This window comes from Homo sapiens, chromosome 7 (genome assembly GCF_000001405.40).
Source record: "Homo sapiens chromosome 7, GRCh38.p14 Primary Assembly".
Taxonomy (NCBI): Eukaryota; Metazoa; Chordata; class Mammalia; order Primates; family Hominidae; genus Homo; species Homo sapiens.
In genome coordinates, this window is record NC_000007.14 from 1,062,303 (window position 1) to 1,086,528 (window position 24,226).

General features: G+C 59.3%; 1 protein-coding gene and 1 long non-coding RNA gene across 12 annotated transcripts in view, besides 5 other annotated features; one reads left to right on the forward strand and one right to left on the reverse strand.

Moving 5' to 3' along the window:
• CHLSN (cholesin) overlaps positions 1 to 24,226 on the reverse strand; it is a 160,294-nt gene that overhangs the window by 84,339 nt on the left and 51,729 nt on the right. The window lies entirely within an intron of this gene.
• Positions 102 to 271: an enhancer, noted in NCBI's record as "active region_25486". NCBI's record gives its function as "activates an Ori minimal core promoter by ATAC-STARR-seq in GM12878 lymphoblastoid cells {active_cell/tissue: GM12878}" and the evidence as "EXISTENCE:reporter gene assay evidence [ECO:0000049][PMID:35858748]".
• Positions 2,051 to 2,345: a silencer, noted in NCBI's record as "tiled region #11358; K562 Repressive non-DNase unmatched - State 7:EnhWF, and HepG2 Repressive DNase matched - State 12:CtcfO". NCBI's record gives its function as "represses a minimal TATA promoter and a strong SV40 promoter by Sharpr-MPRA in K562 cells, with weaker repression in HepG2 cells {active_cell/tissue: HepG2 | K562}" and the evidence as "EXISTENCE:reporter gene assay evidence [ECO:0000049][PMID:27701403]".
• Positions 3,402 to 3,571: an enhancer, noted in NCBI's record as "active region_25487". NCBI's record gives its function as "activates an Ori minimal core promoter by ATAC-STARR-seq in GM12878 lymphoblastoid cells {active_cell/tissue: GM12878}" and the evidence as "EXISTENCE:reporter gene assay evidence [ECO:0000049][PMID:35858748]".
• Positions 3,429 to 15,760, forward strand: CHLSN-AS1 (CHLSN antisense RNA 1). Of its 5 annotated transcripts, NR_187851.1 has the most exons (5): positions 3,429 to 3,782; positions 11,256 to 12,231; positions 12,331 to 12,472; positions 13,639 to 13,909; positions 15,462 to 15,760. It is a non-coding gene; the product is annotated as a CHLSN antisense RNA 1 (long non-coding RNA). The 5 variants fall into 5 exon arrangements; NR_187850.1 differs by having other exon boundaries at positions 11,256 to 12,472; NR_187852.1 differs by lacking the exon at positions 13,639 to 13,909.
• Positions 7,497 to 8,280: an enhancer, noted in NCBI's record as "H3K27ac-H3K4me1 hESC enhancer chr7:1109435-1110218 (GRCh37/hg19 assembly coordinates)". NCBI's record gives its function as "activates a minimal SCP1, AML or CMV promoter by ChIP-STARR-seq in naive H9 embryonic stem cells {active_cell/tissue: H9 hESC(naive)}" and the evidence as "EXISTENCE:reporter gene assay evidence [ECO:0000049][PMID:30033119]".
• Positions 8,281 to 9,063: an enhancer, noted in NCBI's record as "H3K27ac-H3K4me1 hESC enhancer chr7:1110219-1111001 (GRCh37/hg19 assembly coordinates)". NCBI's record gives its function as "activates a minimal SCP1, AML or CMV promoter by ChIP-STARR-seq in naive H9 embryonic stem cells {active_cell/tissue: H9 hESC(naive)}" and the evidence as "EXISTENCE:reporter gene assay evidence [ECO:0000049][PMID:30033119]".

Genomic DNA, 24,226 nt, shown 5'->3' on the forward strand with positions numbered 1-24,226 from the left:
CACAGCACACGACAGAGGGAAAGCAGGAATAGTAACCGTAACAGAAAGTATCATAAAATTGGTTATTTCCCCTCGAATTGTACGTCTTAATACTTTCGGTTACCCCTCTGTAGTTCCTCTTTGCAGAAATTCTGTCCACCCAATCACCCAGGAGTGGTTCCACTTCACACACGCCCGGCACGCAAACCATGTCTCCACACGTCTCAAACGGTAGCAGAGGGAGTACCTTGGCTGCTGGCGAAGGAGTAAGCCACGCGGGCTGAAGGAGCAGGCCTGCCCCACACAGGCGTTACTCCTCCCAGAAAAATAAGAATAAAGTCACCATTGACTACACCCCTGAGGGCTTCTGTGGCCCTGAGGATGGAACTGAGGTGTTGGGGTATCCTGCAGCCCTCCCAAGGATTCCGGCAGAAGTGAGAGCACACGTTCCTGCCTCCGCCCTGCTGCACAGGGCAGCCTGGCAAGAGCTGTATGGCGGTGCGCACGGTCCGCACTCCGTCAGGTTGGGAAGTGAAGGAAGAGCAGAGAATCTAGGCAGGAAGCATAACGTGAACATGCCCATTTCACATGTACCCCTACTCCTACCCCTAACCCCTAACTCTAACCAACTTAAACCTCACCTAAACACCCTATTCCTAACCCCCTAACCACCCTAACCCTAACCCTCAACACCCTCATCTGAACCCTAACCCTTACAGAATCGCTCTGGGCCTGCCTGGCTTTGCCAAGCCTGAGCGTGTGAGTGCATCTGACCTGCCCCCTCCGTTCTCTCTGGGCTCCTCCATCCTGTGTCTTCTGGCATCGCTCACAGACCCACGCCCCATCCTGCTCAGCCACCTTGACTCGCTGGGGGACCACAAGATGAACACAGCTCTGACACTGCCAGCTGACCCCGGCCACATCTGGGGCTTCCACGCGACGCTGTCCCCAAACAGCAAATCTTTGGGTACAGATGGGAGGTGTCCTGAGGCTGGGACAAGGACTGGGCAGGGGCTGGCAGCCGGTCTGGCAACATAAGCAAGCCCCTGGCTTTCCCTCTGCTCACTGCCTTGGCTCTCTTCCTCACTCTGTGACTGATCGGGTGCTCCTGAGAAACGGGCTCCCTGTGCTGCTCCTGGGGTGTGCGTCATTTTCCCGTGTCCCGTGTCCTACGGGTTCCAGGCACTACAATTCACTGGTCCACTCTGCTGCTGACAAACATGGGGACTGTTTCCAACTTCAGGCGTTCGTGCACGAAGCGGCGCTGTTCTGCCGTGTCTCCCAGCGCCCACCATGGGCCCCTGCGTGGGGCACTCCTCGGGCAGACACAGCCTCAGCCGCGCACGCTCACCAAGTGTGGTCTCACGTCCTCACCTGCCCTTGGTGCCATGTGTCTCTGGTATTTTGTGCCAAGCCAGGGGAGGATTAAGGCATTTCCCATCTTAATGACGTCTTGGCCTCTCCAAAGAAGCGCCTCTTTAGGGATTCTGCCCACGTTTCTAAGTGATGTAAGGTCCTTCCTGGTTTGATCTGAATGTGGGCCCTTGCCACGGCTCCTTAATCTAACTGTACCCCTGTACCTGTGCTGTTCTCTTTCCACAGAAGGGCGAGCTCTACCACACCACAGAGAAGTCAGAGCTCCGCAAGTCCCCACCTGGAAGATGGAAGACCCCTCAGAAACAGCCTGTTCTTCCCTCTGCAGAGGTGGGGGGCAGGGGGACTAGCCACACTCAAAACTGGCAGCCTCTGAGGGGAGGGAGTCACTTCAACATCTCGAACTTTAGACAGATGTGTGTGCCTCAGGCAGCATACACACACACATACATGCGTGCAAGCATGCACACATATGCAAGCACGCATGCACACACACAAACACACACGTCTGTCTCCTCCCCGGGAACACCGTGACCGGAAGAGGCTTCACACGCGTCGGCTGCAGGGTAGGAGACCCGACACAGCGCCGGGTCCTGATGGGCTGTGACGTGAAGATGGGGAGACCAGGCCCTTAGCAGCCACAGAACAGGCCCCGGAAAGACGCACGATGGCTCCACTCTTGGAAGCAGATGGTGGCTCTGTAGGGAGACAAGGCTTACCTTGCTCCAGGGACTCTGAGGAGACGCTGTGCAGGGAGGCTGCCCCCAGCAGGAGACATGGAAGGTGAGGGCAGAAGGAACAGCGGTGGGGAGCAGGGGCACTGACAGGTTCCAGACCCTGACCCTGAGCTTCCCACAGCGCCTAAACGCAACACCCTGACTCCTGAGAGGAAGGGAGGGAATCCCGAGCTGACCTCACACAGGAGAACCGAAGCTCAAAGCTCAAGTGTCACCCTGAAAGGCACCGGCAGACAAAGGCTGAGTCTCCAGAGCCAGCCCTGCATCCACCCAAACTAGCGTGGTGCAGGGACTCCTCCCTCGGCCGAGTCACCTGGCCCCAGACTGTCGGATGTGGGGCCAGCAGGGACCCTGGGGGACGCCCCATGGACACGAGGGAGACTGAAGCCCAGAGGGTCCCACAGCAGTGAGCAGCCCCTGCTGCCAGGCTCCAGGGCTCCAGAAGCCCCAGCCCACCCCACACTCAGGGCGCACAGAAGGCCCCAGGAGGGAGGGTGGGAAACGCCGGGTCAAGCGAGCAGCATCCGATTCTTTTCTGCAGGACATCTGAGCTGTGCCACACACACTAAGGCTTCTAAAGAGAAAAGACAGCGTTCCCCGCTGTCCAACCCTAATCATCACAGGACGCTTTCTGCAGAGCCCCTTGGGGCACGAAGATTCTTCCCAGCACCAGTCTGAGAAACGATGAGGCCCTGGGCAGGAGGAAACATGGCCCCATCCTGTTCTAGGGGCCACGGCACCCCTTGGGGCCCCTCTCCAGACCCAAGGCTGGACAGGCTGGCTTCCTGCCCAGCTCCAGCCAACTGGCATACACTAAGTGTGCAGCTGAGGTGGTGGGAGGAAGGTAAAACGTACCCCACTTGGCAGCCACTTCCAAAATTAAACATGGTTAACATCTGTCCCCGCTGTCCCAATTCCAGACATTTACCCAAGAAAAATGGGAACGGAAGTCCACACAAGCACCTGTATACAAATGTTCACGGCAGCTTTGCTCATAAGAGCCCAACACTGGAAACAACCCAACTGCACATCAACAGGTGGACAGATAAACAGATGTGGCCTGCGCATCGAAGGAATGCTACTCGTCAGCGAAATGGACCCACCGGGGACAGGCGCGGCAACAGGGTGAACCTCACAAAACATGCAGCTGCGGGGACACAGCTAGATGTGAGCACGTGCAAAGTACTGGAGCCTCTTCAGCAGCTCCAGAGCAGGGAACCCACCTCACCAGCGACACAGCGGCGACGAGGGCCGGGTCTGGGAGGGCGTGGGCCAGGGAGGGGCGACGGAGGCGGTCTCCCTTGCCGGGGTGCTGGTGACACAGCGGCTGCACCTGTCAGAACACGCCAGGGTGGAGACAGGAGATCTGTGTGCTTCCCGAGTACAGATCACGGCTCAGCATCTCATGGGAAAGGGACAGGGCTCTCTTCAGGACACGCAGTAAGATTTCAAGTGCGGGCACTTTTAATACTCCGCGATCCAAAGGCAGCTCCAGGGCCAGCCGCGGTTTCCGGCCTCAAGGGCAGGCTCGGTTCTGGAGCTCCCTCCAGTGGCCGTCGGGGTGCCGTCACTTTCAGGGCCCCACCAGGAGAGCAGGGGCCCCGCCGAGGACCAGAGCGCCTGGACCAGAGGGAGCCCTGCGCGGCCGGCACGGATGCCTCTCAATAGGCGGCATGGGGCCGACACGACTCGGTGAGTTCCCGCCACGGCTTTCGCCGGCAGCCGGCGGCTGGAGGACAAGGAGAATGCGCCGGTTCTGTTCCTGGACAAGCTCCATGGCGCTGCGGGGTCCCGGCCCAGAAAGCCCACCCTCCCCCAGAATTTCCCCAGGCCCACAGAAGGGGACCGGAATGGGAAAAATACCGACAAACGCAGCAACGGTGCGGCCGTAGGTGTCTGCGCATCCGGCGGGGCTCCTACGGGACCCCCACGCCGCCTGGACGCCGCCTAGCAGATTTGGGGCCAGGCTAATTGGGGCCCATCGTGGCCCACAGATGCCAGCTCCGGGCCATGCTGAGGGACAGGGGAGCGGAGGATACTGCCTGTTTCCCGGCGGGGGGCCCTGCTCAACAGCCTTTCCCTTCCCTACAAACTGTCCCAGGATCCCGGGCCATTCCTTCCAGTAAGTTGGGAAGTCCAGGACCAGACCTCAACGTGGAAAAAGCTGGAGGAGAGAAGGGGGGACGAGGGGTTCTACCTGCCCTCTACCTACCTGCCCTCCTACCTGTCTGTCCACGGGATGCCCAGAGGCTCCCAGACCACCAGCCCCAGACCCTTGGTACTGCGTCCCCAGCTGTCTGCCAGGGGCCTGCTGGGGAGGCCGATGCCCATCCCTAAGCCTGAGCCTCCAGCCCGGCACGAGGGAAGGCCCCACATGCCCCAAAGGAGAGGGTTCGGGGCACAATCTTCACAAAGGCTGGAGTGCACCCCAGAGGTGAGGGTTTGGGGCACAGTCTGTTGGCGGAGGCAGGAGTACACCCCAGAGGTGAGGGTTTGGGGCACAGTCTGTTGGCGGAGGCTGGAGTGCACCCAGAGGTGAGGGTTTGGGGCACAGTCTGTTGGCGGAGGCTGGAGTGCACCCAGAGGTGAGGGTTTGGGGCACAGTCTGTTGGCGGAGGCTGGAGTACACCCCAGAGGTGAGGATTTGGGGCAGTCTATTGGCAGAAGCTGGAGTACATCCCAGAGGTGAGGGTTTGGGGCACAGTCTGTTGGCGGAGGCAGGAGTACACCCCAGAGGTGTGGGTTTGGGGCACAGTCTGTTGGTGGAGGCTGGAGTGCACCCAGAGGTGAGGGTTTGGGGCACAATCTTCACACAGGCTGGAGTGCACCCCAGAAGTGAGGGTTTGGGGCACAGTCTGTTGGTGGAGGCTGGAGTACACCCAGAGGTGCGGGTTTGGGGCACAGTCTGTTGGAGGCTGGAATACACCCAGAGGTGAGGGTTTGGGGCACAGTTTTCACACAGGCTGCAGTGCACCCCAGAGGTGAGGGTTTGGGGCACAGTCTTCACACAGGCTGGAGTGCACCCCAGAGGTGAGGGTTTGGGGCACAGTCTGTTGGTGGAGGCTGGAGTACATCCAGAGGTGCGGGTTTGGGGCACAGTCTGTTGGAGGCTGGAATACACCCAGAGGTGAGGGTTTGGGGCACAGTCTTCACACAGGCTGCAGTGCACCCCAGAGGTGAGGGTTTGGGGCACAGTCTTCACACAGGCTGGAGTGCACCCCAGAGGTGAGGGTTTGGGGCACAGTCTGTTGGTGGAGGCTGGAGTACATCCAGAGGTGCGGGTTTGGGGCACAGTCTGTTGGAGGCTGGAATACACCCAGAGGTGAGGGTTTGGGGCACAGTCTTCACACAGGCTGGAGTGCATCCCAGAGGTGAGGGTTTGGGGCACAGTCTTCACACAGGCTGGAGTGCACCCCAGAGGTGAGGGTTTGGGGCACAGTCTTCACACAGGCTGGAGTGCACCCCAGAGGTGAGGGTTTGGGGCACAGTCTTCACACAGGCTGGAGTGCACCCCAGAGGTGAGGGTTTGGGGCACAGTTTTCACACAGGCTGGAGTGCACACCAGGGAGGCTTCCCGCCTCTGGCAGAATCACCGCCATGCTCAGTCACAAACCCAGAGCTGCGTTTGGACGCTGCAGCACACGCTGCGGCCCCAGCAACGGTCCTGCGCACCAGGCTCCTCTCCCAGTAAGGTCCGCTTCTCTGTGGAGCTCAGGGGTCCCTGCAGTGCCCACCTTAGCAGAGGGCAAAGCCTTGAGACACGGATGCTTTGTCCTCAGGTCTCCACTGGCTCCTCAGAACAGGGCCCCTCAGCGCTGCAGTGTGTCACATGTCCCCAGTTTCCCCTCGTGGTGCTCACGCCACACCCCTGGCACGGAGGCTGGAACCCAGGTGTCAGTCCTGGCTCTGACCATGACCTTGGACAAACCACCCCTCAGACCTAGAGCCCTCATGCACATCCCCATGGTCACTGCCACCCGGCAGGGAGCAGGACAGCCCCGGGGGTCTGTGACTGTCCCCGGGACATCAGTCTGAGAAACAGCGCTGAGTTGGACGCTGCCTGGTGTGGACACTCGCCCTCCACAGTCACACAAACTCGGCTTTGCAAAATCAGTTCTCAGTGAAGGAAATAATGTACACAGTGGTCCACTTCCAAGACACAGTGTCTTGCTTGCTTAGGTCAGCAAGCTACAGAAGACCAGGCCCCTGCCTGGGTTGCCGATGCCTGCTTGTCGGCCTCCCCATCCCCAGTCTTCCCCCCAACGCTTAGTTGCCTTCACCTGACCCAAAAACTTTTAGTCTATGACGAAAGTTTTACTCGTCTGCAACATAGCTTGTTTTGTCTGTTCTTATCAGTCTGCCCAGCTACTTAGGTCATAAGTCAAATACCTGAAAAGCCCCTGAGCTGACTAGGATTGCAACGCATTGTGGGCTGCAACAAAATGCAGCAGGACAACCCTAAAAAAACACCTACAGCCCCTGCCCGACAACCAATAGGTGATGTCCGGGAAGACTGTGACCCCAGAGTACTCAGCCTGTGAGGAACCGGGGGAGGGGCCTGCGTACTGGGGGATAAATGGCTTGTTGTGACCGTGCTGGGTGTGCCTGCCCACCAGACACCCGATCTTGCAAGACCGTCATTAAAAGTCTCACGTTTAGGCCGGGCGCGGTGGCTCATGCCTGTAATCCCAGCACTTTGGGAGGCCGAGGCGGGCGGATCACCTGAGGTCTGGAGTTCGAGACCAGCTTTACCACATGGAGAAACCCCGTCTGTACTAAAAATACAAAATTAGCTGGGCGTGGTGGCACATGCCTGTAATCCCAGCTACGAAGAAGGCTGAGGCAGGAGAATCGCTTGAACCTGGGAGGCAGAGGTTGCGGTGAGCCAAGATTGCGCCACTGCACTCCAGCCTGGGCGACAGAGCGAAACTCCGTCTCAAAAAACAATAAATAGCTCTCCCTCTCCCCTCTCCCCTCTCCCCTCTCCCCTCTCCCCACGGTCTCCCTCTCATGCGGAGCCGAAGCTGGACTGTACTGCTGCCATCTCGGCTCACTGCAACCTCCCTGCCTGATTCTCCTGCCTCAGCCTGCCGAGTGCCTGCGATTGCAGGCACGCGCCGCCACGCCTGACTGGTTTTGGTGGAGACCGGGTTTCGCTGTGTTGGCCGGGCCGGTCTCCAGCCCCTAACCGCGAGTGATCCGCCAACCTTGGCCTCCCGAGGTGCCGGGATTGCAGACGGAGTCTCGTTCACTCAGTGCTCAATGGTGCCCAGGCTGGAGTGCAGTGGCGTGATCTCGGCTCACTACAACCTACACCTCCCAGCCGCCTGCCTTGGCCTCCCAAAGTGCCGAGATTGCAGCCTCTGCCCGGCCGCCACCCCGTCTGGGAAGTGAGGAGTGTCTCTGCCTGGCCGCCCATCGTCTGGGATGTGAGGAGCCCCTCTGCCTGGCTGCCCAGTCTGGAAAGTGAGGAGCGTCTCCACCCGGCCGCCATCCCATCTAGGAAGTGAGGAGCGCCTCTTCCCAGCCGCCATCACATCTAGGAAGTGAGGAGCGTCTCTGCCCGGCTGCCCATCGTCTGAGATGTGGGGAGCGCCTCTGCCCCGCCGCCCCATCTGGGATGTGAGGAGCGCCTCTGCCCGGCGAGACCCCGTCTGGGAGGTGAGGAGCGTCTCTGCCCGGCCGCCCCGTCTGAGAAGTGAGGAGACCCTCTGCCTGGCAACCACCCCGTCTGAGAAGTGAGGAGCCCCTCCGCCCGGCAGCTGCCCCGTCTGAGAAGTGAGGAGCCTCTCCGCCCGGCAGCCACCCCATCTGGGAAGTGAGGAGCGTCTCCGCCCGGCAGCCACCCCGTCCGGGAGGGAGGTGGGGGGGGTCAGCCCCCCGCCCGGCCAGCCGCCCCATCCGGGAGGGAGGTGGGGGGTCAGCCCCCCGCCTGGCCAGCCGTGCCGTCCGGGAGGGAGGTGGGGGGGTCAGCCCCCCGCCCGGCCAGCCGCCCCGTCCGGGAGGTGAGGGGCGCCTCTGCCCGGCCGCCCCTACTGGGAAGTGAGGAGCCCCTCTGCCCGGCCAGCACACATGCACGCACATACGCACACGGGCACACGAATGCACGCGCACACATGCACACATGCATACACATACACCACGTGCACAGGGACACACGCACACACGTGCACACACGCAAACACGCACACACGGACACGCACACACATGCACACATGCATGCACACACGCACACAACACGCACACGGACACACATGCACACACATGCACGCACATACGCACACGTGCACGATACACATGCACACGCGAGCACATGAACACGCACACGCGCACACATGCACGCACATATGCACACAACGCACGCAGACATACACATGCACACGCACGCACACGGACACGCACGTGCACACATGCACACACATCCACACGTGCACACATATACACACAACGCGTGCACACGGACATGCACACGGGTGCGCACACGTGCACATGCACACACGTGCACACACATGCACGCACACACACAGCACGCACAGACACGCACACATGCACACACACACAGCACAGACACGCACACGGGCACATGCACACGGGCACACACACACGTGCACACGCACATGCACACACATGCACACACATGTACATGCAGCCCCGAGGCAGTGCCACCGGAGCCAGCCTCATGGAGTAGCCTCCTCCAGGGTAACAGGAGCCATGGGGGGGCCATGAGACTGGATTCCACTCATAGAGGCCCCGCACGCGGCTGTTCAAGCAAAGCCACACTGACATTTCTGGTATCAAATTTAAGTCAATCTTTTAATGACCCTCCCGCACGTCAGCAGCAGATCAGGTGCAATGGCAAGAAAAGCAAGCGAGAAACAGCTGTACAACAACATAGGCTTAAAAATTCTTTTTGAAAGAAACTTTAATAAACGATGCATTGGTGAGTGGTGAAACCGGAAGGTGCTGTGGCCCCGGGCTCTGTGGCACTAGCACTGGTAGTCTCAGGTGCGCTGAGAGGACCAGAGCTCCTTGGAGAAAAGCTGATGTGAGGTGGGCCTGGGCACTGGTGGGGGCAGCTGGGGGGCTCCCACTGGCCACACAATACATTAAAAACCACAAAAACTGATGAGTCCACAGCGACACTCCAAAAAGCAGGCAGGAGAGGGAGGAAAGGGGAGAGGGAGGAGAAGTACCACTGTGAGTCTTCATAGAAGCCACTGTTTCCACAGACCCTGGGCAGGAACAGGTTCAGGAGACGCAAAGGCACCGGGTGGGAGGGGTCAGGAGGGCACCGTCGCCACAGGACGCATTGCCAGGGAAGTCCTATGATGCACGCCCACCTCAGTCAAGTGACCACATTCGGTGTCACCAGCATGGGACAAGGTGGAATGGCATGCCTGCGGGCGACACCACATACAACAGGCAGCCTTGCCCCTGTGGGACTCACCCACCTGAGCGGAGCCAGCCTAGGACACCTTAGAAGGAGGGCTTCGGCACCCAAGACTGCACCCCCAGGCCCAGGCCGCACGGCCGCAGCACAGGCTCTGCACCTGGTCGGCACACGTGGGGAGGCTGCAGGACAGAGCCAAGCAGCTCCGGGCAAGTGGCACCCAACAGTCACCCAGCCACACAGGGGAAGAGCGGGGAGGGGCCCAGCGCTCAGGATGGAAGAGCCCTGGGCAAGGCATCCATAGACACCTTAGACTCTGGCCTAAGCGGGGATCCAAGATGGCCTTCCGATACCCAGACCCTCCCATGCACACAGAGTGCCCCCACCTCCCCATGGTCCTGGAGCCGTAAGCATCCTGGCTGCCCACGGTCAGCACACACTGACCCGCCCACGGTGCCTCTGCTGCCCTTCTTCTCTCGCCACTCCCCATCTGCAGCCCGTGTGCTGAGGAGGGCACGGAAAACGTCCAAAGCACGCACGACTGCAGCGAAGCTCATGAATGCCCCTGCACACACGCAGTGGGGCAGACACCGGTTGGCCCTGCCAGGCCCTGCACACTCACGGGACCACGACTGCTCCTCGGATTTCCAGGGTCAAATGGGGTCCAGTCAAGGAAGGGCTGTGCGTTCTGCTTCTGCGCTTAGGCATATGATTAAACACATTTCATAATTAGATATGATCATTGCATCTGAGACACAGAGCTTTCCAAAACGGTCTGTGGGCTGAAGTTACTGCTTCCCTAAACGTCTGAGGGGCAACACCAGTGCCGCCAGCTAGGCCTGCAGCCCTCCTTGTAGAAAGGCTTTAATTATGGAGTCAATTTCTTTTCTTTCCTTTTTTTTTTTTTTTTTTTTTTTGAGATGGAGTCTCGCTCCATCGTGCCCAGGCTAGAGTGCAGTGGCGCAATCTCAGCTCACTGCAACCTCCGCCCCCTGGGTGCAGGTGATTCTCCTGCCTCAGCCTCCCAAGTAGCTAGGATTACAGGCGTGCGCCACCACGCCTGGCTAATTTTTGTATTTTTAGTAGAGATGGGATTTCACCATGTTGGCCAGGCTGGTCTTGAACTCCTGGCCTCAAGTGAGCCACCGCGCCTGGCCTGGAGTCAATTTCTTTAATCGTTACAGGACTGACAGAGCCTTCAAAAGTTCTTCTTGGGTCAGTATGGTAATCTGTATCTTAAAACAATGTGCCCAGTATTGGCATAAAGTTGTTACAACGTTCCCTTACTGTCATTCTGTTGTCTCTAGAAGGATCTGAAAATGTCCTAGGCCCACCGACCAAAACCAGGTCCTGAAAACCAGGACTGGCAGCAGGAGAGGAAGGCGCTCCTCTGGCCTCTTTCTCACCCACTCTGCAGCTTCACACACAGGAACACCTTACACCCTCCTTCGGTGTGAATTTCAAAATACATACAATGACCAGAGGGCAGCGGAAGGGAAGGGCAGAGAGCTTTCAAGCAACACTGCCCTCCCTCCTCACCTCCTCACCGCATTCCACTCCCGTTTCGGAGACAAGTGGCCGGCAGCTACTCCCCGCGCAGGCAGCTCCTCCGGCGCCCCAGCTGAGCTCCCGCCGCCCCTCAGGCTCTGCTTCCCACCCCCTAATCCCGCTGGAATCTGCCACAGCATCGACCTGCTGCTCCTCAACATCGTAGAGCTTTCTTACTTTCTCACAACTCCTTGAGACACTTTTTTTACTGTGGTTTCCTTCCCCAGCCCATATTTGGTTCTCATGAAAACAGAAGCTCCGTGGAGAAAGCGAAGAAAGTCCTTGAAAGTCGCCTGTTCAAAGCCGCCACTGCCGTGATGCCCCCTGACTCCGCACCCCGCCGCCGTGACGCCCCCCACGACCCCGCACCCTGCTGCAGTGACGCCCCCGACCCCTCACCCCGCTGCCGTCACACACCCCGACCCCGCTGCCGTCACTCCCCACGACCCCCCACCCCGCTGCCGTCACGCTCCGTGACCCCCGACCCCGACACCCTGCTGCCGTGATGTTCCCCCAACCCTGCACCCCGCTGCCGTGACGCCCGCCCCGACCCCGCACCCCGCTGCTGTCACGCCCCCGACCCCGCACCCCGCCGCCGTCACGCCCGACCCCTCACCCCGCTACTGTGACGCCCCCCGACCCCTCACCCCGCTGCCGTCACACACCCCGACCCCGCTGCCGTCACTCCCAACCCCCCACCCCGCTGCCGTCACGCTCCGTGACCCCCGACCCCGACACCCTGCTGCCGTGATGTTCCCCCAACCCTGCACCCCGCTGCCGTGACGCCCGCCCCGACCCCGCACCCCGCTGCCGTCACGCCCCCGACCCCGCACCCCGCCGCCGTCACGCCCGACCTCTCACCCCGCTACTGTGACGCCCCCCGACCCCGCACCCCGCCGCCGTCACTCCCCCGACCCCGCACCCCGCTGCCGTGACACCCCCCGGCCCCCATCCCGCTGCCATCACGCCTCCCGGCCCCCGCACCCTTGTCTGTGTCCCACAGCACAGGACCTGTCAGCGAGCGTCTGGCGCCTTCCTCCCTCCCCTGCAGAGACCCGCCAGGCCCCTCCAACAGGTGCTTTCTAAACTGCAATTTCCTCATCTACAAAAGGACAATCACAACAACGGAACCCAGGGGACAGGACTGCATCAACTACAACCAGACGGCGTAGACGGCAGCACACGGCCCTCGGCAAATCAGAGGTGCTCAGTGACCACAGCCACCATGACAGCAGGGCGGGGCGGGGGGCAAGGAAGCAGCGCTGGGAGACTTGGAGACACCCCAAAAAACGCCTTCCTCAGAAACACTGCTGTGCAAGAACCTGCAAATCCCTAAGGCGTCTGTGTCCGATGGCCCCGGCCCCATGCTCTGAGGTCGCGCAGGTGTCCAAGGCCAGGAGGGGCACCGAGGAGACGAAGAAGAAACAGCACAGCAGCTGGGGAGGTGAGGCCCGCGCCTGGGATGTCATGCAGCCTGCCGAGCAGCCGCTCGAGGGACCCGCCCATGTGTCATCAGCTCTGGCCTTCCTCCTCTCACAGATCAGAGAGCAGAGGGCAAGGTGGGCAGAGCCCAGGGTGGGTGCAGGGCTGAGCGCAGGACAGACGTCCCTCCAGCCTGGTGGCTGCCCCGTGTGGTGAGCGGGAGGACGTGTGAGCTGGGGGGCTCCTCCTTGTGACTGCAGATGTGTGGGCCATGGGAGGGCGCAGAATGGACCAAGAACCGAAAGGTCTGTGCAGGGGCCCTGCAGCATCCCAGGAGCAGCCTTGCCGCCACCTCCATCCAACACAACCCGTCCTCTGGCCTCACTGAATTCTCCTGAGGACCAAACACGGGAGGGGTGTGGTTCCTAGGCCATCTGAGCAATGACAAGCTAGACGGGTGGTTAGAAACAGCCATTTTAGGCCAGGGGCGGTGGCTCACGCCTGTAATCTCAGCACTTAGGAAGGCCAAGGTGGGCGGATCACAAGGTAGGAGATTGAGACCAGCCTCTTCAACATGGTAAAATCCTGTCTCTACTAAACATACAAAAATTAGCCGGGGAAAAATACAAAAATTACAGGCAGGCGCCTGTAATCCCAGCTACTGGGGAGGCTGAGGCAGGAGAATCGCTTGAACTGGGGAGGCAGAGGTTGCAGTGAGCCGAGATCGCACCACTGCACTCCAACCTGGGTGACACAGCTAGATTCTGTCTCAAAAAAAAAATTAAAAAAAAAGGAAAAGAAACAACCGTTTTAGGGCTCTTGAAGCTGACCAAGGCCGCACAACAAATCGGGTCACTTTTTTTTTTTTTTTTGAGACAGAGTAGGAGTCTTGCTCTGTCACCCAGGCTGGAGTGCAGTGGCGCAATCTCAGCTCACTGCAAGCTCCGCCTCCTGGGTTCACGCCATTGTCCGGCCTCAGCCTCCCGAGTAGCTGGGACTACAGGTGCCCGCCACCACTCCCAGCTAATTTTTTGTATTTTTAGTAGAGATGGGGTTTCACCGTGGTCTCGATCTCCTGACCTCGTGATCCGCCCACCTCAGCCTCCCAAAGTTCTGGGATTACAGGCATGAGCCAGCGCGCCCAGCCCGGGTCACATTTATTAAAAAAAAAAACCCTCCTGACCTCAGGTAGGAACAGCAGAGTCTGAGTCACCAAAGCCCGGGGCTGCCACTCTCCAGGGCGCCCCACTCCCAGCTCCAGCGGCTGAGTCCACCAAGCCAGGACAGGCCCAAGGACCAGAGGGCGAGGTGATTCACAGTGGAGCTCGGAAAGACCCATCCATGCCCAGCGCCTTGTCAAAAACCACAGGGGTCTTGGTGACAAGCAATTGAGGGAGGCCAACATGGCAGAGCCAGGGCTGCAAAATCGGCTGGAATAAGCATCAGACCTGCTAGAAGGGTAAGAAGAGCAGTGCAGTGTGGTACATGCCAGGGAGGAGCATCGCCAGGGAGGAGCACCATGAGGGAGGAGCACCACCAGGGAGAGGCAGGCCAGGGAGGAGCACCGCCAAGGAGGAGCAGGCCAGGGAGGAGCACCACCAGATAGGCTGCAAGGAGCACCCTTTCCTGAGCCTGCATGCTGCTCCGCAGGAGGCTGGGGAGCACCTCCCTCCCAGGCATGGGCTCTGGGGAGGAGTTCCCCTGTGGCACCGGTGGTTTCCCATGGATGTGCCACGCTGGTTTTCGGAGCCTGCAGGCGGACTGGGCACCGTGTAAAGAGGCCCGAGAGGGTTCCCCTAACACAGGCAAGCGTCATGCACAGGGCACAAGCACCGGGGAGGGATGTAAGAAAGGTCTATGCTTTCAGTTTCCAACAGGGCTGGCCCTGGGAAAAGCCGCAGAGGGAAGCTGGCTCTGAATTAATGTCCAAGATCTTTTCCTCCACTTGGCAGGGCTCTCTCCCTTCAGGGACCGGTGGCCTTGGCCAGGACTCTTCCCAGCCCAGCGCCACAGCCTTCTCGGGAAAGCCGGGGGAGGAGAGCATGGGGACTTGCACGCCTTGCCTGGCTGGGGAGAGGACCTGCCTTCTAGCCACACTTCCTGCACAGCCCACGCCCAACCCCTGGGTGACGCTCCTGGCACAGGCTTACGGGGTGGTCAGCGAGGGGCTGGCCCCTGCTCTGCAGCCAAGACTCAGGTTACCCAGTGTCCAGTCCGGAGCTCCTGCTGTTCTGGGTACCCTGCTGTTGCGGGCAGAGGGCCGAGACCCCCGGCCTGGGCCAGATGCCAATGCTGGCTCTTAGCTCGAGACTGTACGACAGGGTCCGAGGAAGGCGCTCTTGGGCTTACAAAGGCCTGAGCACTTTTCCCTGGTATTCTTGGGGGCTTTCAGGTCCTATTTTTATTTATTTTTATTTTTTTGAGATGGAGTCTCTCTCTGTCGCCCAGGCTGGAGTGCAGTGGTGCCATCTAGGCTCACCGCAAGCTCCGCCTCCCGGGTTCACACCATTCTCCTGCCTCAGCCTCCCAAGTAGCTGGGACTACAGGCTTCCACCACCAAGCCTGGCTAATTTTTTGTATTTTTAGCAGAGATGGGGTTTCACCGTGTTAGCCAGGATGGTCTCTATCTCCTGACCTTGTGATCCGCCCGCCTCGGCCTCCCAGAGTGCTGGGATTACAGGCGTGAGCCACTGCACCTGGCCTCAGGTCCTATTTGAAGTTGCTCTGGTCCTCCCAGAGTGCTGGGATTACAGGCGTGAGCCACCGCGCCCGGCCCCAGGTCCTATTTGAAGTTGCTCTGGCAGGGCTGCTTTCTGAACGTGCAAGCCCTCAGGTGCCCCGTGCACAGGCACACACCACCTTTTCCCTCTGCAGTACTAAGCTGGCTGCCTCCTACCAGGGCTAGTTTGAATTTTCCTAGGTCACACGGGCAAGCCAGACGCTGCTTACGTGCATTGAGTGTGGTGTGAGCGGCTTCAGACCAGATTCCTGTCTTCTTTACACAACTCTAGGTTTTCTGTGCCTGTTTTCGGTGAGCACAGAACAACTGAAGGAAGCGCGGGACAGACACAAGGGCGGGCCTCGGTGCCACGGCTGGCCTTGGGCAGAGGGAAATGCTTTGTGTACTTTCTCTGGGAAGCAGCAGCCCCAGCGCGGCCTCGGCGTCCTCTGCCGCCAACTGCTCCGTGACCGCTGGGCGTGTGTGCGGGGACATGGGAGCAACTTCACAGTGGTGGGAAGTTTCTCTCCTAAAACGAAAGCTTCTCTATACTACAGATTGGCCCCATTAAATAAAAGAAAATACGGTGTATTTTTACAGCGTTTGGGATTGGAAATGACTGAGATTCACGGTGGCTCTAGTCCTGTCTCCTGAAGACGGAGCTGGACGAGGTCTGCGGACAGTCAGAAAACACGTCAGGGTTTTGGCTCAGCTGCCAGATATGCAGCTATGGTGGGATTTCTGCGGCAGGGCAAGGAAGTGGAGACAGTTCGCGTGGCAGAGCACAGCGGGTGCCCTATAGTGGGCACGCCTGGAGAGCGTATATTTTCACAGGGCCCGAAACCTGAATGGAGGATTCTTTCCACCAGCTGCGGGGTGGGGGGGGGCTCAGGCACATCAGTTTTCCCACCCAGAAGACGAAGGCCTGCGAAGGGGGCCCCATGAGGCCTGGGAAGGGGGCCCCGTGAGACCTGGGGTTAAATCTTCCACAGCAAGCAGGGACCCCAGCCAGGCTCTGCACAAGGCAGGCGCTGCGCTCAGGTGGGAGTCCTGTGAGATGCTCCTGCACCCCACACTCCCGTGACCACAGGCGAGGCCTAACGCCCCCCACGCCGGTTCATCTCGTCTCCTCAAACTCCCACCAAGATGCTCACGACAGGGCCCAAATGCACTCCCGGGGGGTTGGCTAGTCTGCAGGATCACAGGCTGGCCCAGTGAAAACCTGGGCTTCGCTGCCTTACAACCATGCAGAACTCATAGCCAGGCCATGTGCCCACCTGCCCACTGGGACCCCGGGACAGTGCCTGCTCCAGACAGAGGCTGGGAGCTCTGTGAGGGGCACATGGAGTGAAGCAGAGCCTGCGGCTCACCTGTTTGGCTCTGGCTGGCCAGGTGCCCCCTCAAGCCCCAGCTCAGCCTTCCCCCAAACACTCAGCTCCATCCCCCACCCCAGCGGGTCAGGGCTCCATCAAGACTGCTGGTGAATGGCCGGCTGAGGAGGCAGCGAGGCAGCGGGTCAGGGCTCTGTCAAGACTGCTGGTGAATGGCCGGCTGAGGAGGCAGCGAGGCAGCGGGTCAGGGCTCTGTCAAGACTGCTGGTGAATGGCCGGCTGAGGAGGCAGCGAGGCCTTTGGAGAGGGAGGGCCAGGGTCACAAGACCAGCAGGGCACAAAGGTGGCTACGGGAGGAGCAGGAAGTCAACAGCCGCAAACAAACCTCCCAAGCCACTCGAAGCTGACATCCGCAGGCCACAGGGACACACCTGAGGCTGCGGAGGGGCGGCCACAGACCTTCACAGCCATCCTGGGTCCCCAGGCAGGCAACGCCCGGCTGCTCGTCTGCTGTCCACCTCCCTATGGGGACACCTCAAATCACACGAGAATTGTGACCTCAAAAGCTTATGCTGCTTTTGCACAGAAACAGTGACGTGTGAACCATCCTGGGATGGTATGAAAGACAAGCGCAGGTCTGGAAAAGCAGTTCAGAAGCCACTCAACTGTCTACGCTGGGGAGACGGTTTCGTGAGCTACCACCACAGCCTATAACTACTTATCCATTAAAAATGATAATAAAACCCAGGAAGAGGCCGGGAAAACATTCAATAAACCAGCGTGCTGAGGGAATCTGCACAACCCCCCTCCCTGCCCAATGTAGACGTGTGACGGGAAGTGGCAGGGGCAGCAGCTCCTCTGAGGGGCCCCGTGGCAGGCAGGCCCTGGCGGGGGCTGGGAGGGCTCAGGGGCAGGGGTGACTCCCAGATGCCCTCCAGAGGGTCCAGGGCCCTGCAGGAGCCACCAGCCCTCACCACTGGAGTCCCCGGCCTCCCAGCTCTGGGGAAGCAGCCCTGGAGAAGTGGCGCCCATGCTTTCTAGAACCTCTCTGAAGGGTTGTTTAAGCAGCGAGGGCCCATGCTGCCGTCAAGAACACACAATTCTCAAGGTCCCGGCTTTGGGGAGTTCCCCCAGGCCCCGAACCTGACCTTGGCAGCCCCTCTGCGTGGCTCAGGAACGAGTCCCACAAGCCCCTGGCTCTTGGCCGGAAACCGGCCACCAAAACAGACTGTGAAGGGCCAACCCCTCCTCCCAGGGAATTCCAGGGCTCAGTAGGACCCTTTGCTTTCCCTGGGGTTAGAAGGACAGGTGCTGGCAGAAACGCAAAACAGAGTGGCCACTTTGGCAGCTTTGTATGAAGCTAAATGTGCACACACTGTAAGAACCAGCGATGCCCAATCCTAGCGATCCACCCAAAATAAAATTACGCTCACATGAAACCCTGTATGTGAACATTTAAAGCAGCTTTATAATAGACACAATCTGGAAAGAACTCAAATGTCGCTCCCACGATGGCGGGACACAGACCGCGGCACAGCCCCCCGTGCTCAGTGGCGAGCAGCCACGGCCACCTGGTGTGCACGACGTGACACACCATCTCAAGCGCAGGAGGCACGGGGACAGCCAGGCTCGGAGGCTGCACACGCACAGGTGCCACCCGCGTGACGGTCCGGGGAGTCTGATCACGGGAGCAGAGTGCAGCCGCACGGCCGCCAGGTTGGGTGGAGGGAGGGGCTGACCACCCAGGGACGGGCAGAGGAGTCTGGAACAGGACGGTTTGTGCGCTGCCTGCGAGCACCGTGCTTCCACGACTAGATGCCTCTGTGGTGAAAGCCAAAAGGAGTATTTTACTGCACACAAATTCTCAGAAATGATCATCTGAAAACTACAGGTTCTCGGCTAAGGCACCCAGGCTCAGACTGCCGACACATCGTTAAGCAGCTGGGTACCAGCAGCAATGACCTCATCCCTCTGACTCCGTGACCTCGGCTGCAGAGGGTCACGGCGAATTATATACACAGTGCCACGCACATGGGAAGCTCTCAGTGAGAGAGGGTGGGCTGAGAGCCGCTTGGCCTGGGCCCTGCACCTCGTCCCACTCTGCATGAACTGCCTTTGCGGGTAAGGTCGGGGAGAAGGTGCCAGGCTGTCAAGGCCCAGGGTGCAGGGGGCCAGGTGGGAAGAACAGGAAGGCCGGCCGAGCTGGAGCCTGCACGGCCCTGCATTTGTTACTCTGCCTCTTAGACTATGCAGTGGTAGCAGTGGAGGAGGGGGAGCACGCCCCCCACCCGGCAGCCCAGCAAGGCTGCAACCTGCAGCTCCCAAAGGGCTTGGTCCCTCCCCGCGTGCCGTCATCCAGGGCCACCAGGGCCGGGGACGGTGCCGGGCAGTGCCGCTGGGAGACGGGCTTGGTGCCTAGGCCGGGTGGGGGTGAGCTAAGCACACCCAGCCCCGCTCCACCAGACTGACCTTGCCAGGCTGGGATTTGAGAGGGCTTCGGGGATAACTGTGAGGACCCCCTCTCCTAAGACCCCCAAGTCAGGGGGCCATGAAAGGTGGGGGAAGGGGAACCTGTCTGGGACCACTCAGAATTCTTCCCTTTCCTTGTAGAGCCCGAGCCCGGGCAGAAGAACCAGAACAAAACCTAAGTACAAACACGGCGGGCTCGAGCGGGGCTTGGCACGGCGCAGGGGTGGCGGCAAGGGGGCAGCCTGGACTGGAGCCAGAAAGCCTGTGCTGGCATCCGCCACGCGGACGGGGAAGCTGAGACCCAGGGCTCAGGTCACGCTTACGTCGTTTGGTAGCCAGGTACCAGGACCTCATGCCATACACAGCACACAGGCTGTGGAGCTGGAGCCAGTCGAGGAACCTGGAAGCCCCGACCCAGACAAGGCGCAGCCTGGGGGAGGGACAGGGAGGCCTCTCGAACCCATGGCTTTCTTCTGCCCACTGCAGCCTGGGGGAGGGACAGGGAGGCCTCTCGAACCCATGGCTTTCTTCTGCCTGCACAGGGGCCCCTCCTGTCCACGATAAAAGCCCAGTAATAAGGAGAAAGCAGTCAGCAGCCTTCACCTCAGCTCCAGACTCCGTTCTCGGGGCCAAGTTCAGGTGTGTGCCTGTCCCCCCACCCACCAGGTGGCCAGGCCTGGCTATGACCGCACGGGAGAGCAGGGCGGACCCCGCGAACGGGGACAGCACCTGACGGCGACATCCACAAACGCCGCCCCGCAGGAGCACGCACTCCCACACAAAGCGCCTGCAGCTGACAGCCGCCGGGAGGGGACATCTGGACAGCCTCACGCAGCTTTCAGACCTGCAGTCCATGTTAAAAGGATCTTGTTTCCAATTTGCCTTAATTAAACAAACATTCCAAACCACTTCCTCTCAGTCTGACCATTGTTCTTCATTCCATGGTACTCGGAGTCCTGGGAACCACTCATCACTGTCGGGTGCAGGTGGACGTCCCCTCACGGTAAGGTCAGAGTGCTCCCGCCCAGCGCGTGGCTCCGCGGCGCCCTGTGTGCCTGGGGGGTGAGAGAGGGTGGCGGGGGCGAGGTGCTTGTGAGGCACATCACAATGGGGCCCGAGGGCGCTGCGTGCACAGGACTCTACAGCACAGTCTTCATGGGCCGTTGGTCTGAGTTACTCAGAGCAGGGGATGATCCATCCCCACTTAAAGACAAAGTGAATGGGGTTAAACAGGTGCTGTGAGTGGCTGGGACGGGCTCACAGGAGGAGGGGCCAGCATGGGCCACGCACCACACTCTCACCCAAGACCCAAAGCCGGCCAGGCCACCGATGGGCAGAGATGACTGCAGCTTCCAGAATAGTGGGCTTCATGGGGTGGGCATCCCAAAGCATATCACAGCCCCTGGGGGGCAGGGCAGGTGCTGCATGATCCTGGTCCTGTGTCCAGCTCCTGCCACTGCCCCATCTCGTAACCCTCTGGACACAGAGAACGCAGAGAACAGGCAGTGTTCCATGTTCCCACCAAGGGGAAGATCCAGCGCCCGCAGAGAACTAAGGAAGCACCGGGGAGTGTGGTGCTACTGAAGAGAGGATGCGTCATTTGCATTTATCCAAAGAAAGGGTTCACGATGTCTTACGTTCAAACAGATAAAATCAGACTGAGGTGGGGTGGGAGGAGCCTCCCCGAGGCTCCTTGAGGAACTGCCTGGCAGTGACCGAGGTGGGGCTGGGACAATGCCCAGGTGCTGGCCTCTCCTCGGATATTCCGCCATGTGCTCCTGGGGGCGGAGGGTCCCCCAAGGGCAGAGCTCAGCCAGCACCACCCTGCCCACTCTTCTGTAAAGTGCCCCTGGCACGACGCTCCCAGAGAACCCAAGGATGCGCCCAGAATGCTCCCAGCAACCACTGAGGGGGCCCTGCTGGGAGACCCGCAAAACTGCCAATGCCTTGTAGGCCAGCAGCCGCACGCGCCTTCAGTGCTGGAGTCACGCCCAGGGGCTGACGGGCCAGATGGTCTCTGAGTGCAGCAAATTCCGTCTTGTGAGGGAAAGTGATAGAAGATGAGAGTGTGGGCCGGGCGCGGTGGCTCAAGCCTGTAATCCCAGCACTTTGGGAGGGTGAGGCGGGTGGATCACGAGGTCAGGAGATCGAGACCATCCTGGCTAACACAGTAAAACCCCATCTCTACTAAAAAAAAATACAAAAAATTAGCCGGGCCTGGTGGCAGACGCCTGTAGTCCCAGCTACTCGGGAGGCTGAGGCAGGAGAACGGTGTGAACCCGGGAGGTGGAGCTTGCAGTGAGTGGAGTTCGCACCACTGCACTCCAGCCTGGGCGACAGAGCAAGACTCCATCTCAAAAAAAAAACAAAAAAAACAAAAAAAAACACGAGAGTGTGGAGGCGCAGACGACGGGAGCACCTGAGCTTCCGTGCTCAGCATGCTGTGGTCAACTGTGGTCTGCACACACCCACCGTTAACTGGGCCCTCCAGCTGCAGACACCAAACAGGGACAGGACGGCGGCACCGACGCGCCCACGTCCACCAGTGCCAGGCGACACAGCAGAAAACCAGGATGCCCTGCCCCTCACCGCACTGTTTCCGGGCTCGGCAGGCACACACCCTGAATGAAAGGCTCCAACCTGGCGCGGAGCCACGGCCTGCGTGCTTCTGAAGGAACAAGAGAGACGAAGTCACTGTGGGCCGCACCACGTCCTGACAGCAGCTAACCTCCCCAGGCCGGAATGGAACAGATGGAAGACATGGCAAGTCTGTCTGAGGGGAGGTCACAGGATGTCCCTAAAGTCAGGATATGGCACGGAATGCAGAAATTGGAGCAGAGTTCCAACCCCGCCTGCCACTGGTGCGGCAAAACCCGCACACCCCACACACAGCTTCCTTGGGACCTGGGCTCTTTCTATAAAGGGGCTGCTGGTGCATGTCTCCTTAATGCTCCAGGCCTGTGAGGATCGGATGCCCGAGGGTGCTCCTGCATGTCACGCGGAGGCGGGGGACGCCAGCGATGCCCTCCCGGGGGCGTGGGAAGGGGCTCTCGGCCTCCCTTGACTCTCCATCATCAGAGAATGTGTCCGCCTGGCATGTGAGACACGGCGCACTTCTCCGAACCTCGGGCTGTCTTCCAGCATGTGTTAGCTCTAGAATTCCTTCTGCACACAGCTTGATGTCTCCCCTGTAAGGTGGATCCGGCGCGTGGTACTGTGAGCACCTCCAACCAACTGCTCCCTCCCTTGTGCCTATGGGGGAGAAGCGAATGAGCCAGGACTGGGCTAATCTCAGGCAGTGCCGCCCCACCCTTGCCCCTGGTGGACCGCTCCCCTTGAAAAGGAGCAGCAGTTGGTGGGAAGGGAAGCCTCACTCCGCCCAGCAGAGACAAGGGGTGTGTGGGATCTCACAGAACCGTGTAGACCCACGCACCCCCACTGTACAGATGGGCACTGAGGCTCAGGAAGGTTAGAGACGTTGCCCGGTATCACACAGCACGTGGGGTGAGGAAGTGGAACCCGGGCTGGAGCCGGCAACGCTGAAAACCAGGGTTGTTTGGACGGCGACATGCAACTCCCTGAGGGCTCTGCTCCTGCAGAATCAGGGGGACCCATGCTGCTGCCTACCATGGAGGGCATGGGAGAGGACTGGGGATGGGACAGGGAGCAGGAAGGGGTTGCTCAGTCAGTCAGTGCTGGCAGAGGGAGGGGCGCTGGGAAGGCACTGCAGGCCCTGTGTCTGGGGCCTCTCAGCACAAGGACTGGGCTTTGCACGCGAGGACTGAAGGGTCAAAGGCGAGGGCCAAGGTTTCCTACGTGGCATTCACTCGGGAGGGCTCCTGAAGCTGGAGACACACTGCCTTACTTTGTGCGTGTTTTTCTCTATGCATTATCCAGTATTTGGCTATGTGTGCATTTAGCTCAATAAGCAATGATCAGATGAAATTCCCCTTGAAGTTCTTTCCTTTTATTCTATCCTGGGGATGAACAGAAAAATATTTTCACTTCTTAAAAATTCATAACGACATCAGATCCAACAAGGAAATCAGTGCCTGAAAAGATGACTATTGACCCAGGACGCCTCTGGTGTACAGGCCGAGACCATGTGCTCAGAGTCAGCCGGCCCCTCCCAGATCTGCTCCTGGCCAGCTGTGAGGCCGCGGTGACACCACCTCCCTGCAGTCAGTTTCTGCAACCATGAGACGGGGAGAAGGACAGCCCTGCCTCACAGGCTCTGAAGGAGGGTGACCTAAGATCAAGCACGCAGAGCACCGCACAGCGCCCAGCATGCATGTGTACAATGTCACATTCTACACTGAAGGAGGCTGAGACAGGAGGATCTCTTGAGCCCAGGAGTTCAAGACCAGCCTTGGCAATACAGTGAGACCTTATCTCTACAAAAAAATTAAAAAAAAAAAAAAAATTAGCGGCTCGCATCTGTAGTCCCAGCTACTCAGGGGCCGGGGTGGGAGGATGGCTTGAGCCTGGGAGGTGGAGGCTGCAGTGAGCTGAGATCAGGCCACTGCACACTGGCCTGGGCAACAGAGCAAAATCCTGTCTCAAAAAAAAAAAAAGATTTAAAAATCGGCAAAAGGTCTCTATGCCTTACAAATAGTCCACGAGATTCCTGCCATGCCGTCACACATCAAGTATTAAGTAGGTCTTGGAGACGGAAGTTCCTGCAGTCCGGGCCCTGTCTCTTACATCAGTAGCTGTACAGTACAAGTTACTTACCCGCCCAGTGCCCACAGGAGAAGGCTGCGCTCCAAGACCCAGATGCCCCGATCCGCTGACTCTATGCTGCAAGCAGGAAATCTAGGAGTATCGGCCACTCGCCCGCCCAGGGCAGGCTCCCCAGGAAACCCAGGGCACGTGAGTGGAGAGCTTGGGAGCTGAGCTCTTCCTCAGCCGCTGGGATGGGCAGAGAGACCAGAAGCCATGGGTTTGCACTAGCAGGGTGCAGCTATTTTTAAGTGACATGTCTCAGCTATTTCAAGGTTTGAATTTTTATTTTACTTATTTTTTTCTGTACTTTCTCATGACTCACATCTTTCAAAATTGTGTCTCAGGCATTTTTAATGCTGAAATCATCTCAACTTCACAGCTGGTCAAAAAATGTCTAAGAGCAAATCAGCTCTTTATCATCCAAATACAAAAAGGTACATATTAGAGTTGTCAACTTTCTACTGCTGGAAGAAAACTCCACGTTAGTATTTTTCCATTAAAAAATTAACACAGCATTCTGTTTAGGAAATGT